Consider the following 16,431-nt stretch of genomic DNA (forward strand, 5'->3'; position numbering starts at 1 on the left):
CCATTTTCTGAGAAGAAATTCAAGCCAGCTGCAGAGATTTGCATAAGTAATGAGAAGCCGAATGTTAATCCCCAAGACAATGGGGAAAATGTCTCCAGGGCATGTCAGAGATCTTCACAGCAGCTGTTCCCATCACAGACCCAGAGGCCTAGGAGGAAAAACTGGTCTTGTGGGCTGGGCCCAGGGTCCACAGGTTGTATGCAGCCTAGGGACTTGGTGCCCTGCATCCCGGCCACTCCAGTCGTGGCTGAAAGGGCCCAATGCAGAGCTCAGGTTGCGGCTTCAGAGGGTGCCAGCCCCAAGCCTTGGCAGCTTCCTCATGGTATTGAGCCTGGGAGTGAACAGAAGTCAAGAATTGGGGTTTGGGAACCTCTGCCTAGATTTCAGAGGATGGAGTATGGAAACACCTGTATGTCCAGGGAGAAGTTTGCTGAAGGGACAGGGCCCTCATGGAGGACCTCTGCTACGGCAGTGCAGACAGGAAATGTGGGGTCAGAGCCCCCACACAGTCTCTACTGGGGCCCTCTCTAGTGGAGCTGTGAGAAGAGTGCCACCATCCTGCAGACCCCAGAATGGTAGATCCACTGACTGACATCTTGCACTGTGCACCTGGAAAAGCTGCAGACACTCAATGCCAGCCTGTGAAAGCAGCCAGGAAGGAGGCTGTACCTTGCAAAGCCACAAGGGTAGAGCTATGCAAGACCAAAGGAACCCACCTTTTGTATCAGCATGACCTCTATGTGAGACATGGAGTCAAAGGAGATCATTACAGGGCTTTTAGATTTGACTGCCCTGCTGGATTTTGGACTTGCATGAGGCCTGTAGCCCCTTTTTTTGACCGATTTCTCCCATTTGGAATGGCTGTGTTTATCCAATGCCTGTACCCCCACTCTATCTAGGAAGTAACTAACTTGCTTTTGATTTTACAGGCTCATAGGCAGAAAGGACTTGTCTTGTCCCAGATGAGACTTTGCACTGTGGACTTCTGAGTTAATGCTGAAATGAGTTAAGACAAGGCACGATTGGTTTTGAAATGTGAGGACATGAGATTTGGGAGGGGCCAGGAGCAGAATAATATAGTTTGGCTGTGTCTCCACCCAAATCTCATCTTGAATTGTAATTCCCATGTGTTGTGGCAGGAACTCGGTGGGAGGTAATTGAATCACGGGGACAGGTCTTTCCCATGCTGTTCTCGTGATAGTGAATAAGTCTTGCAAGATCTGATGGTTTTAAAAACAGGAGTTTCCCTGCACAAGCTCTCTCTCTTTGCCTGCTGCCATCCATGTAAGACATGACTTGCTCCTCCTTGCCTTCGCCATGATTGTGAGGCTTCCTTCCAGCCACGTGGAACTGTAAGTCCACTAAACCTCCTTCTTTTGTAAATTGCCCAGTCTCAGGTATGTCTTTATCAGCAGCACGAAAACGGACTAATACAAGGGTGTATAGTAACTGGAAGGTTAATGTCAGGAAGGAGGCGAAAAAGCAGGTAGGTAAGCTGGGTATCTTATTTACAGAACATGGAATACCAGTCCTTACCTAAATGGGCAATGAAAAGCCCTTGGAGGTTTTCAGCAGCATGCAAATAATTTATAAGAAATTAAATGCATTTACAATTGCTGAGCCTGGAGCCTAAGGGAGACTTGGGCAACTATGGGCAACAATTTAAGATGTAGAAACTTTAAAAAGATAATTGCCCAAGTTGGAGTCTGACTAGCTAATATAACCTTAATGAGTAATGAGGAGAAGTGGATAGGGCTATAGTTTACATTTCATTTAAACGACAATCCCTCTAGCAGCTCAGATATGCTATAGACATAGGTTACCGAATGAACTGTCAGCCTTAAACGCATCAACAGGAATGAGCCATCTCCCAAAATAATGTGGCCAGGTTGATGGGGGATTCCTCCCCTCAGTTAATAAATATTCACTATGCTCCCTACTATGTGCAGGCACTGAGGGAAGAAATATAACCAAAAGGAGACATTCTCCCTGCCTTCACGGTACTTATTGTAGTGTAGTGCCAGCAGACAGTCATTTAATAATCACACAAATATATATAAAACCTCATATATTAAGTATAATATATAAATGTGTGTACATAAAAGTATAAATGCTATGAGAGCCTTTATCCTTAAGAATCATGTTCCCTGCCATAAGGGAACTATTATATTTGGTTTCAACATCTACCTGTTAAGAAAACCAGATTTTAATGGAAATGAAACTGAGATTAACTCAATGTAAAGCTCTTATCTGATGCTCAGCATGTTATCTCATTATTGTTAATTGTTAGATGTAATCCTCTTTCCCAACAACAGAGCAAGACCCTCAAGGGTAGACACCATCTATTATGTCTTTTAACCTCTACAGCACTCACAAGGTCTTACTTATATAGTTGAGCACATAATATTGACTGTTGCTGTTTTCTTTAATGGCTGAGCAAGCCTGCTGTTTCCTCTGGCTCTCTCTCTCCACCACAATTTACTAACTGAGAACCTACTATGTGCCAGAATCTGTGATAGGAACTGACAGAGGCAGTGCCCTCAAATTCTCACCTCAAAATCAAGAAATTCTGTTTTTCTTTATTTTCATTTGAAGTTATATTCTCTCTCTCCAACACAGCTCTCCCCATAAGGGAGAAATGCAGAGCTCAACTGCCTGAGAGAGCAATGAGTTTGATAACAACAGGCACTGAGGGAGAGACTTAAAAGATGAGAAATTACTATAAACCACTGTAGAGCTACAAATGGCAATGATGAAAATAACCTACTGCTAAAGCCATCCATGATAAAGAGACAGTGTGGTTGGTTATAATCATTCTGGCTCAGGTACTGGGGCTTATGAGATGGAGGACAGAATTATACTCCCATGTAAAGGCTGGCTATCAGGTCTTGCTCCCCAACATAAGTATGGTGAGCTTAGTGCCAGTGAACCATTGTGTAACACTCCCTAGTACCCAAGCAAGGACACTTAAATAATACTTTCTATAAAAGTAGCATCTCTGTAAAAAAAAAAAAAAAAAAAAAAAAAAAAAAAAAAAAAAAAAAAAAAAGCGGGGAGGGGGCCACAGTTGATCTTGCCCTTACTCCATTACTCTGGTTGGCTGGCTGATGATTCTAATTCCATCCTATTGTTCCCAGTGGAACAACAGTGGAACTCCACATACAGTTGAGAAACTGCAAGGAACACAAAAGACTCAAACAACAGAGTTCGAGGGTCTACTTGCTAACTCTGGGACCTATGGCAAAACCCAAATGAACCACCAACTGTAATGGTCTATTTTCTTGAGCTCAGAGCAACTATGTGAACTCAGAAAGAAATTATAGGCTTTAAATGATCCTTAATACCCTGCATTTCAGTGTTACCTACATACGCCACCTCAGAGGATAGCATTTCTGTAGTAGCCGTGGTATGACACACTGCCAAGATTAATAGGCCTATCCAGGGGAAGCTCCCAGGACAATGACAAGATACAAGTATTTAAGCAAGATTTCTTTAAAATATCCTTAAACTGCTTACACATATGGTATAGGAAAAAGATGGAACTTGCAACTGGCAATCCTGAGTTCTAGCCCCTGTCCTGTTACAGATGGGATAGTGATCTTGAGCCTGTTAACAACACTGACAGGAGCAACAGCAGTAATAACTAACTGTCAAATAACAGTACCATACCTTATACAACTGCTGTGTGGATTTAATTTTACATTGCAATACAATGTCAATTATTACTGATTTTTTTCCTCAAGAAAAAGGTAATTCTTATTTTTTATTTTTTTGAGACAGGGTCTCACTCTGTCATCCAGGCTGGAGCGGTGCCATCACAGCTCACTGCAGCCTGGACCTCCCAGACTCAAGTGATCCTCCCACCACAGCCTCCCAAGTAGCCAGGACTACAGGTAAGCATCACCACGCCCAACTAATTTTTGTATTTTTTGTAGAGATGCAGTTTTGCCTTGTTGCTTAGGTTGGTCTCAAACGCCTGGGTTCAAGCGATCCACCTGCCTGTCTCCCAAAGTGCTGGTATTACAGGCATCAGCCACCATGCCCAGCCAACCATTTTTTAAAATGTTTAATTTATAGTAGAAATACAGAAAACAAAGGGTAAATAGAGTTTGGGTCCCACATTTAAAGCTTTCTTTCTTTTTTACACAAGTATCCCCTATTATTGGTTAGGATCCAATTCAATTAACATATTGCTTTCTCTTTAAAAAACAAAAGGCTTAGGACGCATATGACAGATAATCCAAATGCTAAGGGAGAAGTCAGCTGAAACATAAAGATGCTTAAGTCAAAGGAGACTGGAACACAGAGAGACCCAAATCAAAGGCTTTCCCTTTAAGAATCTAAGTTTCCCAAAACTCACATGGTAAAATAATCATTTCATGATTATTTACATAATGTCATAACCTTAATTACCACAATCTAAGAATGAGCCTATTTCCTTTAGTTCAAATACCACACTTAAAAAAACGCCAGGTTTAGTGAGAACTGATAAGTCTAAGGGACCAAAATATTCTGTTCGACTCACGGCACCTATGAAACAGCGCTGGCAGCTCGCTTTTTAAAGAGGAAGAGGTTGAGAGCTTATAGACATTTCCTTCATTCACTGTCAGTAGGACATATTTGGATTATAACACAGGATAGGAGGATTCTGAAATTAGAATGGTATCTAGTAAATTCTCAAATTGGGGTTTTGTTGACTGGCTCTAGAATCTGGTTCCCCTGGACCACTCCTCTCTCCTAGTCCTGCTACTTTTCTGCCAGCATCTCCTGCCACCATCCCTTCACTCATTCCACTCTACCCACTCTGGCCTCTGTTTTCCCTGCCTGGCCCAGGAATGCTTACAGGTTCCTGTCTCAGTGCTACCACACTTGCATTCCCTCTGCCTGGAATGCTCATTACCAGACAGATGCACTACTCTTTGCTTCACTTTGTTCAAAGCTTTGCTAAAATGTCACCTTGCCAGCAACACTCTTCTTCTCTGCCATAATTAAAATTGCAACTCTTCTTCTCTGTTTTTCTCCATGGTACTTACCTGACATAATACATATATTTTAAATTCTTACTTCATTTTTTAATCATTTCCTCATCAGAGCAAGAGCTCCTGTTATTGTCTGTTTTGTTTACTGCTGTACTCCCAGTATCTAGGATAGTGCCTGGCATGTAGCAGACCCTCAGTAAGTATGTGTTGAATGGCATGAATGAGTAAATAAATGAGCCACAACAAATGACAGACTATTCCATTTGTAAGACTACCAAATTCAAACCTTTAACTTCCTTGAAGAAAGAAAGGAGAAAATAGGATTTAGAATAATGTAATTATAAGGACTTAAGGAAGAATGTTATGGCATTGTAAAATAGGCTGGATAAGGAAAAGGTATAGTTGTGATCCTATGACCCACCTCTCCCAATGTATTCAAACTTAAGAATGCCTAAGAATCATCTGACTGCTTGTTATAAATACAGATTCCCAGGTTTCCATCCAGAAAGGCTGATTCAGTAGTGAATCGTATGTGGGTGGTCCGCAACTCACCCCTTGAGAAACACTGCCCCAGTGCCACTCCTGGTTAGGTGAGACTTAGGAGAAGGCAGCTCTTTTCCATATAGTTTACCAAAGCAATTTTAATTGATACTATGGTACAGGAATAAGCACCAACTGTCAACAGGTCAAAGAAGCCTAAGAGATAATCTTTGGCATGTGTTTACTTTGACTAAAGGGGTGAGTCTGTCTCTAGTCATAAAGATTTCCGTGGTACTTAGTGTTGTACCCAGGAAGGTTGTTATTCCAGGTAAGTACCTTGGTTTAAGGTCATTAAATCAAGTCCACACTAAGTAGGCTTAACCCATGGCAAATTCTGGTTTTGCAATACCAGGTATGTACATGGCCTGTTTTGTTCTTTATAAAGGTCAGAACTTCTCCATGTTTACGCCACATGGAAAGCCACACCTTAGATAAAGTATAGAGGCCATAACTTACCAGAGTGACAATATAAAAAATGAAAGCATAAGGGTTCCAAATTTGATCTTGGATAACCAAACAAATCCAGGACCCCCACCACAGAACTAAATCAAAGTGCACCCAAAAGCAAAGATTGTTCTTAACAGAATAGTTCCTTCTTTATAAAACACTGGATCACTAAAGCAAAAACACAGGTCCTCTTCCCAGCTTGCCAGTTATTCCAATGAATTGCTACAGACAACTACACTCTCTGTCAAGGATGGAACTAGCCATGCAGATGTTTTCTCCAAATTCCAGGGAGTGACCCTAACCCATAGGCTTTTACTCAAAGCTTCTAATTTTGTTTTTCAAATGTAGAAACAGCTGGTGCCTAGCCCTCCAGGGAAAACACTAGGTTCCAGAAGGGAGTGGGGAAGAATGGTTATTTTTTTTCTGTTTCACATGAACATGTCTCTTCACTCAAGTCTTTTGTCCCACAGCTTAAAATGCTCTTTATACGCCTTGGAAATAACAATTATTGGGGCTGGAAAATCAATGGTGCCCAGGTTGTTTTTCACATACATTACACACATTTCTGCAAGTGCTCATTTACAATAAAGTATTAACTTTGAACCATAGGAAAGGAATTCTCATGGAGGTCTAGGGTATTAATGACCTCTGGAATCTTTACTGTTATCCCAAACGAACTCTTGGCCACTCTTTATACTATAGTGTATAGTTATAATTTCTTGAATTTATTACAAATAATACAAATTTTAAAAGATAACTCCTACCATTATCTCACAAATAGCTCCATTATATCTGACATATTTTGTTAAGGATAAACTGGAGTACGTAAGGTGTGCAGTGATCCTCCAAACAGTCAAAAATAAGGCAACCATGCTACCTGAATATCTCTGACTACATTTCCTTCCCAATAGGTGAGTGCTCTGCTAAGCTCTGCAACAAGTTCCAAGCTAGTAGTGGCCAGCTACTCAGCTTTCTCAGGAAACTCACCTTCTCTCCTTGGAGTGATGGGACTGAGTCCCGCAAACTGTGAAAGCTGTCTTTGATGTGGTCCCTACGTTTTCGTTCCAGTGCATTATGATGAGCCCGTTTGTCAGCCTAGAAGAATGGGAGAAAGAACACATTAGGAATGTCACTCCTTTTGCTTGGTACAAGGTGGGTGGGGTACAGCCTGGAAGTACACGCTGTCAGCACTGTCCCTGGCGAGTGGACTGGGAAGGATTTCTCGAGGTGGGCAGTTAGGAGTCTCCAGAATTAGGCTCTGCTAAAGGGGGAGAAAGGGGTGAGCAACGCTTGCGACAGGAACATCCAAAGTAGCTCGATGCATCCAGCTCATGCATAAGTAAAATAAAAGTTATTCAGGGGGACAAAGTGTGACTCTCCTGTAACATCAGTGGTCCCCCCCAACTTGCTTATGTGACAGAAGAGCCACCAGTCTGTGGTTAGGAAGTGACTAGAGAAAGCTCCAGTGGCCCCTTCTTAAGATGTGATCACCTCCACTGTAAGAGATTCCCCAGATGGGTGTCCAGGGGAAGAAAGAGTTAAGTCACTGGTGCTTCTTTAATGTGAAACCATCACCATGAGTCCCAAGCCCACTAAAAGGCACTAGTTTAAGACCTTCTCACCAAATCATACAACAGAAGCTAAAACCTCTATAAAACCTAGATGCATGAATCTGAGATCATTATGACAGAGCTGATAAGATGACAACTGAATTCTGAGTTCCTATTTTTTAAAAGTAGATCCAAGGTGCTATCCTGCCAAGGGCTTCCTTGCACACAGGCAGTGCCTGACAGGCAGTTCTTAGAGGGCACAACTTCTGACACCACATACTCAGAATAAATTCTCTCAGGTACCTGTGGCAGGTCAGGCTAACTGGCAGTATCTAAATATCCAAGTCAAAGCCTTAGCCTGCTTGGAATCACAAAGAACGGTCAGCTGGAGATGGACCAAAACTGCCAACACCAAATCAGGAATGGCAAAATGCTCTGGCTTCAGGCAGAAGAGATAGCGCTGGAGAGCATGATAAGAGCACTTCAGCAGGTCCCCATCAGAGGGGTCTCCCCTCCAAATGGAACACAAACAACCCAAAGCAAGAAGAACTTCATCACACCTACACTCTAGGAATTACGGAAATTATGCTCTGAACATTCACCTTGAATGCACAACGTTGCACTGAGCTAATCTAGAGAGCCAGTCTGTACATGGGAAGTTCAGGTAGCTTAAATCTATACAAACAGAGGGCCAGAAATTCAAAAAATGGAACAAGAGTAAATAACTTGGCTTAGCACAAGAATAATGCTGCCTCACATTAATCCTTGTACTAGAGAAGATGTACAGACAAAAATCTATCAAGAGTTGTGAAAACGAAAGGACTTGAAATTCTCCTGTTATTTAATCCTAAAAGTCCCAGTCATTACAGAGGAAGAGGAGACTGGGAGCACCTGTAGTCATCTGAGTTACTTCCTGGTCTCTTAAACATAATACCTCACCTACAGCTCTGTTGAACTGGACATGTGGTTCCCATGACAACCATGGTTCTCCATAGCATATCTCTCTTTTTGGGGCAGATGCCTGGAGCACTTCTAAAGTTGTCCTAATCTTGTTAAGTCTGGATTCACTGTAAAATGAATGTTTACTGAACTATAGTGACATGAAATATGAAGCTGAGAGGACAGTCAAGTTTGGAACACCACATAACCTGAGGGTAGAGGTAGGTACTCTGTATCATACAACTTTAGCGCAAAATTATAGATGCCTTCTAACAGTAGCATGAAATAGTGCGACAGAATTGAACCTATTTAAGTATCTAGTCCTTTTGAACTTACTGTTGTTCCCTCTGATCATCTACATAAAGATAAGTTGGGCTGCGACTATACCTAAGGAGCTTAAAGGCCAAGAGACAATATTTGGCATGTGTCTGCGGCTCCTGTTTGCTATATACTACCTAAGGTGGTTTATTTACATGCAAATTAATTGCCCATCTTTGGTCTCCAGAGCAGCCCAAGATACTCCTGTCTACTAAATCACCCTGATTCTTGGCCCTCCTCCCAGCTAAGAGCTGTGCACCAGAATTACCCACAATCCCTCTTGTTGATACAAATAAAATTCTAATTGTCTGTTTTCTTTCTGGGAGAGCCCTGCAAATCTCAAACAGCTAGAATGAAGTTGCACTTGGTTTCACGTGGACCTGCACTAAAGGGGTGGAGCTAAGTATAATCTAACACCAAAATCATCCCCACAATGCACTACCCCCTCCCATTCACTGAGCTCTGAAAGGACTCAAATGGACAAGTCTCTCGGTTGGAGGATTGTAAGTGAACTTGGCTGTAGATCATGAGCAGAAATCTTGGCTTCTCATCTGGGGAGCCAGCCAAGTTTGAGAAGTTGGCTCAACAAGGAAAGGCAGCAGTCCACTGCCTGGTAGAAAGCCTGGGCTGGGGACTGTTGTTCTCAAAGTAGTGGATGGAATTTCTGTAGTGGTTCCAGGCCCAATTTAACTAGCAGAAGAGTGGAATCTTACACCAATCCCTGCTGCCATGTCCATCCCTGAGCTACTAGTGGAGTCAATTTTAAATCTCTCAGAGACAATGGCAAGGATGTATTTTTCTCTTCCCCAAGCTTGATTTGAAAGAACAAGTTAAAAACATGCAGAACTAACAAGCCTAATTCCAGGCAACTGTGAATTAAATGTTATCACTAATGTTTTGAAAGAGCACATGAAAAACAGAAAAACCTTTACACAAGGCTGAGAATTCTCTGTGGGAAACATTTCCAAACCACAGATCCACCCAGACCAATAACACTGCCCGCGCCTCATCCCCACCCCCATTGGAGGACTAGTTTGCAGGCTTTATCACTGCCTTGTTAACTGTCTTTGCTTGCTGGCAACCCTTTTTGAGAGGGCCAAGATTTCAGAGTTGAAGAAGAAAAACTGGGTGAAGACTCCCAGTGTAAGGCATCTAATATCCTCCCCCAAATGCAAAACTGGTTTTAAAAAACAAGCCCAAACAATTGTCTTGAACAAATAAAACTCTACTCAGATGAGCCTGTACTGAGAATGATGTTCAGTAATGAAAACAAATGGTACGGAAAACCCCCTTGTGGAATTAATTAGGCCCTATTCTAGGAGACCACAGAGGTATTCTTGGACTGTACAGCAGGCTCCCAAACATCTCCCCTACACATCCTATGGTTACAGTGGCTGGATGCTGCCCACTCTTCTAGTACGCTGGATTTGTACGTCTGGATGTCTGCCAGAAAACCCTTCCTCCAGGGCATCCCTAACAGAAATACTAAGGGGCTATGCAGTGGTCCACAGATGCTCAACAGAAACTCCCGCACCAAATCACTTCCAGCTTTGACATCTCTGCCAAAGTTTTTATTCAGCCTCTCAGTTATATTTCTACCCAACTTTCCACACTGGTAGACAGAATAAAAATCTTCACCTACAATTTGTCCATCTTTGACACTACCAAGCACGTGTATCTTAAGTGTTGTTAGATGTTGAAGACAAACATTATTTTGTTAGCCAAGAAGTTGCTATGTTGGCAAGAAGTCATCTAGGCTAAGGAGGTCTGTTCAAAATTGAGGGAAATCTCTTAAAATTATTTCCTTCCAACTTACTGCAGAGAGACTGCATCTTTGTTCAAGGCATCACATCAGTCAGTAATCTTATTTCCTCCAAGTTCTAGGCAAATAGCACGGGGAAATAAATGCTTCATTATTCCAGGATGCACAAGGTTCTCCAGAACAATGCCATGTCTTACAGGCTACCTGACAGCTAACCCCACCTATAAGGGGAACCATCTCAATTCTAATACAGAAAATTCTCAGCATATAGGGAATTAGTTGCCCACTCAATATTTACTACCTTTACAAAATGTGAAGGTTGTATTTTAGAGGGAAGCTTGTGTTGCTTATGATTCTTATCAAGCTATTCTTATTAGAGACTAAGGACACGAGAATACACAGACCCAAAAATCTCATCCGAAAAGATCTATTTCTTACTTCTGATAGATAAGAACAAGATAGGATAAAGCTCAATTTCTAAGCAACTTAAAATATTCATTTTAATCAACCCAAAAATTATAACATAAAATAATAGGCAGGTAGGATGGGATAAACTCACCAAGCTCCCTAAGAGAAAGACATGGATTTCAATTTTCCAATACCTGTCCTGCTTGTAGCTGATTGCCTGGTATACATTTCCAACATTATCTAATGTATGTATTTGTTTTCAAACTTTTTTCTTTTGGTGCCTAAAATAACTGGCAAATGCTATAATCCAAACAGGGCCTCATACTATAGCCATTTCAGAGAAGGATGCCTTGGTCAGGAAATTTTAATTAAAAACCAAGCTGAATTCTTTGACCAACTATTTCACCGTTACTGGCATCTTGGAAAAATTCTTTTAGACATAAGAACAACTTTTACCCTAACACAGGCACATTTAGGAACTAACTCTGGCATTTGTTATCACTGTAAGCATCACTGTCAACACTCTAAGCAGAGAAAAAGTACATGCATTGTGCAGCACTTTTGCCATGCAACTGACTGCAGGTAAAACAGACAGTAGTTTCCTGAGTGAATTCCAATCTCGGAGGCTACCAAGCTCGTTCTCTTCTGAATATTCCTAAAGAAGCAAAGAGCTCTGAGAAGTTAAAAATATTTCATGCCAGAAAGGTCCAGAAGTGGAATTGCACAAATCTGTTTTCAAACCCCTCACAAGTATACTGCAACTGCAACTCAGTCAGGTGCCATCAAGGATGGTCACTGGAAAAAAAATTGCATTTCCTGACCAACACACTAACCCATACATTTCCTGTATACTTACACTCTTTCCTAAAGAAATTTCCCAAACAGAAATAAAGCAAAAGGAAGCCCTTGCAATATAATATACCTGTCCCACAAATTTATCTTTAAAATGCAACCTCTTCCCTCCAAAATATAATAAAAATAACATCAGTGGGATTTTGCGATGTACTGAATTTAGTAGTAAGAATACTCTTTGGGGTTACTTCCTTTAACAAAGCTTACTGGCCATTGGAGAAGCTGTTTTCCGTTTGTACTGAAGCAATAGAAAAAAATATTTGCCAAATCAGTTTCACTTTCTGTTAGAGTTAGCCTAACTTCCTAACTCTCTTCTCAGTATCTTACATTTCTCATGTAGTAAGGCCTATATATTGTAGTGACATTATAAAACATACATGAATGTTTTTATATTAGGATCCACAGAACCCTTTTCAAATAACTTTTTCAACATCTTCTGTAGTCCTGAATACCTAAGTATTTGGTTGTTCACAGTCCACATCTTTTTTTAAACCTTTTTTCTAAGGCAAAACTTAAGAATAGCTCCCTCTTAAATTTTAAAAAATATATTTATTATCCATATTAAATATTGAGAAGTAAGCAGATGCATTCACAGAGGGGAAAAAATGGAATCCTTTTTACCCTACACAGTCACAATAGTTGTTTGATATACTATAAAATTTGTTTATAACATATCTGCTTTTTCTCTCCATGCTGTTGTAATTACATTGTGCAGAGTAATATTTAGAAATATCAACAAATAGATGTGTTAAATTAAAAACAAAGTGTCAAACCAACTTCCTTTGCCTACCCCCAAAATCAAAAGGAAAAATCCTAGGCACCTTAACAGCAAACTAAAAACATCTAGACAAAACAATGAGATTAGCATTCCAGGAAAGCAGAAACATTATAATAATTTAATAACAAATTTATATCAACGATCATATGGATGAAAATTTTGAAAAGCAGAAAGCTTTCAAGAACTGCGAGCCAAAATTTCACCAAAAAAACAAACAAACAAACAAACAAACAAAAAAAACACAACTTTCTCTTACTGGGAAGTCAGTATAATTTCAATTCAAAGGATAATTCTGCAAAGGAAGGCTAAACGATCCTTACCCTCCAGCTCTGATCAAGCCCTAGCACAGATTTTACAACTGGAGACTTGCAGGGAAAAAAAAAGTTTTCAACAGACTAGGCCCCAAACATGAAGGATAAAAGTAAATGTGAAAAAGGAATTCAATTTTCAAATATATGCATAAGTATATGAGAATACTTCAAGGATAAATAAAATAAAACAAATTATCTTTAATGACTATTACCCAGGGATAATTTTTAAGACTTTTGGAACAACTACATCCCCGGATTTTATGGAAATATCAGCTCTCAATAAATAAGTTTTCTTAATGCCTATCTGCTTAGACAACCTGCACAATCTTTGCTTGCTCTAATGAAGAGCAGGTATAACTGAGATGGCTTGCCTTTACCCTGTGGTTATCAAGTTCTTATACCAGAGGTATCAAAGTGACATCCTGCAAATTCTAACAAGCCCCCAAACAGTTGTTCCACACATCATTTTAAAAATCAGAAAAATAACATAAAGTTTTAGATTTCTAATCTTTCTTAAAAAATAGGAAGATCGGCTGGGCGTGGTGGCTCATGCCTGTAATCCCAGCACTTTGGGAGGCCGAGGCTGGCAGATCACGAGGTTAAGAGATCGAGACCAGCCTGGCCAACATGGTGAAACCCCGTCTCTACTAAAAATACAAAAATTAGCTGGGTGTGGTGGCACGCGCCTGTAGTCCCAGCTATTCGGGAGGCTGAGGCAAGAGAATCGCTTGAACCCAGGAGGCGGAGGTTGCAGTAAGCCGAGATAGCGCCATTGCACTCCAGCCTGGTGACAGAGTGAGACTCTGTCTCAAAAATAAATAAATAAAATAAAATTAAAAATAGGAAGATCTGGCAATACTGACCCTTCACTCCTACTAACAAACCACTGGAGTTCAGTAGTGCTGACTTTTTAGAAGAGGCACTGCTCTCCAGTACCCAAGCCCTCACCTCTTCCTTCTTTATTCTTTATGGCCCTCATGGGCATTTGAACTTTTTACCCCCATTCTATACATTTCTTACTGCTCCCAACTATCAAATATTAGACACTCTGATATACTTATTTCTCTTCCCCTCGCTGATTCTGATTTATTCTGTGTGTATTCTTTTTTCCCTCAAATCTATTCATGAAACATCCATATTACTGTCTCAGACTCCAAAGACATGGAATTAGTGCTTATCTAAATCCACAGAACCATCTACTGAGAACATTAATATCAAAACCCTAAGAAATTATTGATAACACTCTATGGTCTCATCCATCACCTTTCAGCAAAGCTGTCTCTGCAATGCCACTTTTCTTCAGCTATTTTTTAATTTTCTTTATACCTTTTCTTCAAATACAGAGAATCAGACCATAATAACTTTATGTGACACTTTGATGATGTAACGTTTGGCTCCTCTACATTTCCAATTTTTGCATTAGAATACCATGTTGTGCTAGATTCTACGGGTCTATAGCAGTCACATGACTTGGTTAAAGGCGATTACCGCATGTGGCTTCAGCTTCACACAATTATACAGATATGGTTTAAAACCTACTTGTTCCTAAATAAATCTTCTGACCACTTTGCCCTGAAATAATACTACCAGACCAGAATGCTGCATTTCTCATTTCCACTTACATAGTGGCATCTGGATCCCCTATCTGAAAACTACAGAACAATTCAATTCTTTGCATACAGCTCCTCTTACTCACCTAGAATCACTGAACTTATCACCTGAGAATCTAGAATAATGGGATTTGCAACCCCCCCACCCTCCAGAACCAGGCCCCACCTCACCTTAGTGGTTAACATTAGAGTTTACTACAATATTAAAAGTAATAGTACGATCTCTTTTTCTCTCTGACCCCAAAAAGGAATAGAACTGAACGGAAATAAAAATGAAATGGAGAGTAGGAGACGTACCGCAGATTGAAACCTCGGTTGCTCTTCCTGGAATAAGAGAGAAAAAAAAAAATAGAAAATATAGAAGTTATTTTTACACTTAACATTCAATAATAAGAAAGAAAATGCCGGCGGCAGAGGAAGCGGAGGGTGGGGAGTCAGCCCGACACCCCTTCCTCCCTCCCCACCCCTTGCCCCCACCCTTCCACCCTCGGCGGGATCCGGTAGCAGGGTAGAGGGGTCCCGAGCGCCGCCCCTCCTTCCGGGATCCGACCTGGGCCAGAGGGGTCCCGAGCACTGTCTCCTCCCTGCAGACCCAGCTCGGGCATCTAGGCACCCCCAACCCCTCTCCGCCCTTCCCCGGCCCCCAGGATCCGCGGGTCACGGGAGGAGAGGATCGCAGTCCGAAGGGGCAGGTCCTGAACGCCGTCCCCTTCCCCTGGATCCGGACAATGGGATCCCGGGCGCCCCCCATCCTTGTCCCCCGGATCCTGAGCCGGGGAAGGTGGGAGCGGGAGGCCGCAGCACCCTCCCGCAAGGGAGGAGGTGGGGGTCCCAGAAGCCGCGTGTCTTCCCCCAACCTCCAGTCCCAGGAGGCCGCTCCGGCCAGGAGCCGGAGGGGAGCGAACCGGGAACGCGACGGAGGCACTCCTGGCCCCGAGGGGAAGGGGAAGGAGGCGGCGGCAGCCCGGCCCCCTCCCGCCGTCGCCCCGCTAAGAGCCCCGGCCGCTGTCCCCGCCTGACAACCCGCACGGGAAGGAAGAAGCCCCAGGACTCACGTCGCTCTCCACCTCGATGTCATCGTTATCGCTCATTTCCTACGGCCCAGGGAGCGGCCACTGCAGCGGCGGCGGGGAGGGGAAGGGGTGAAGGGGAGGGGGAAGTCACCGACAACAACAAGCCGAGTCCCCCCCACACACACACTCACTCACTCACTCACTCGCTCTCTCACTCACACACACACACAACACGGGCAAGAACCACCTCCTCACTGCAGCACCGGATCAACGGCGGCACGCACGCCCGGTCGGCCCCCGCCACGTGACCAGGCTCGCAGCGCTGGGGCAGCCGAGACTTGTAGTTCTTGTCCCTCTAACAGACGGCCCGGGTAGCTCCAGAAAAACTACAAATCCCGGAAGAAACCGCATCCAGGCGACGCCAGCCCGGCTTGTTGACGGAGCCCAAGGCGCCTGCGCGTCCCGGGGAGGGGGGGGGGGGCGGGGGGGGGCGGGGAGAGCCGCGGCGCGGCGCCTCCTGGGAGTCGTAGTCCGCAGACCGCGAGTTGTCAGGAGATTTTCCTCCCGAGGCGGCAGAGGAGGCTGCTGGGAAGACAGGACACGTGGAGGGAGCTGGAACTCCTGGAGCCGGGCACCGTCTGCGCGCTGGACGCCGGGCCCAGGGGACTGGGTGGAGTCTCTGGGGGAGTAGCCGGCTGTCTAAATAATGCTGCCTCTCTTTGGTGTGACTGGTTATACTTTGTCTTCTTCATACGGAGTGGTTCCGTTTTGCGCCTAGGGGCGTAACCCGCCCGGGAGGGAATCTGGCTGCGGCGGACCAGGGGGCGCGGCTCGGGATGCCTGCGCGAACCCTCGGGGGCTGGTGGGGAGGTGTCAGTGGCAGGTGTTTCGTGGTGCTACCGGACAGGCAGAATGACCGACCTC

At 43.2% G+C, this 16,431-nt stretch overlaps 1 protein-coding gene and 1 long non-coding RNA gene across 42 annotated transcripts in view, besides 3 other annotated features; one reads left to right on the forward strand and one right to left on the reverse strand.

Moving 5' to 3' along the window:
- The window catches only part of MAX (MYC associated factor X), a 96,595-nt gene extending 80,654 nt beyond the window's left edge, over positions 1-15,941 (reverse strand). For 8 of the 41 annotated variants that reach the window (NM_197957.4, NM_002382.5, NM_001320415.2 and 5 more), the window contains exons 1-3: positions 15,550-15,763; positions 14,792-14,818; positions 6,954-7,061 (exon numbers count right to left, since the gene is read on the reverse strand). In NM_197957.4, coding sequence (NP_932061.1) covers positions 6,954-7,061; positions 14,792-14,818; positions 15,550-15,585 — 171 coding nt within the window. In that variant the 5' untranslated portion in view covers positions 15,586-15,763. Of the gene's footprint in view, positions 1-6,953; positions 7,062-14,791; positions 14,931-15,351; positions 15,530-15,549 lie in introns of those variants that run through there. The other 33 variants (NM_001271069.2, NM_145112.3, NM_001407108.1 and 30 more) reach the window with 10 other exon arrangements.
- On the forward strand, positions 3,164-7,557 carry MAX-AS1 (MAX antisense RNA 1). The gene is made up of 3 exons (NR_045122.1): positions 3,164-3,265; positions 3,781-3,893; positions 6,878-7,557. It is a non-coding gene; the product is annotated as an MAX antisense RNA 1 (long non-coding RNA).
- Positions 14,834-15,334: an enhancer, noted in NCBI's record as "H3K27ac hESC enhancer chr14:65568306-65568806 (GRCh37/hg19 assembly coordinates)". NCBI's record gives its function as "activates a minimal SCP1, AML or CMV promoter by ChIP-STARR-seq in primed H9 embryonic stem cells {active_cell/tissue: H9 hESC(primed)}" and the evidence as "EXISTENCE:reporter gene assay evidence [ECO:0000049][PMID:30033119]".
- Positions 15,348-15,697: a silencer, noted in NCBI's record as "silent region_5847". NCBI's record gives its function as "represses an Ori minimal core promoter by ATAC-STARR-seq in GM12878 lymphoblastoid cells {active_cell/tissue: GM12878}" and the evidence as "EXISTENCE:reporter gene assay evidence [ECO:0000049][PMID:35858748]".
- Positions 16,028-16,177: an enhancer, noted in NCBI's record as "active region_8541". NCBI's record gives its function as "activates an Ori minimal core promoter by ATAC-STARR-seq in GM12878 lymphoblastoid cells {active_cell/tissue: GM12878}" and the evidence as "EXISTENCE:reporter gene assay evidence [ECO:0000049][PMID:35858748]".

Source organism: Homo sapiens, chromosome 14 (genome assembly GCF_000001405.40).
Source record: "Homo sapiens chromosome 14, GRCh38.p14 Primary Assembly".
Lineage (NCBI taxonomy): Eukaryota > Metazoa > Chordata > Mammalia > Primates > Hominidae > Homo > Homo sapiens.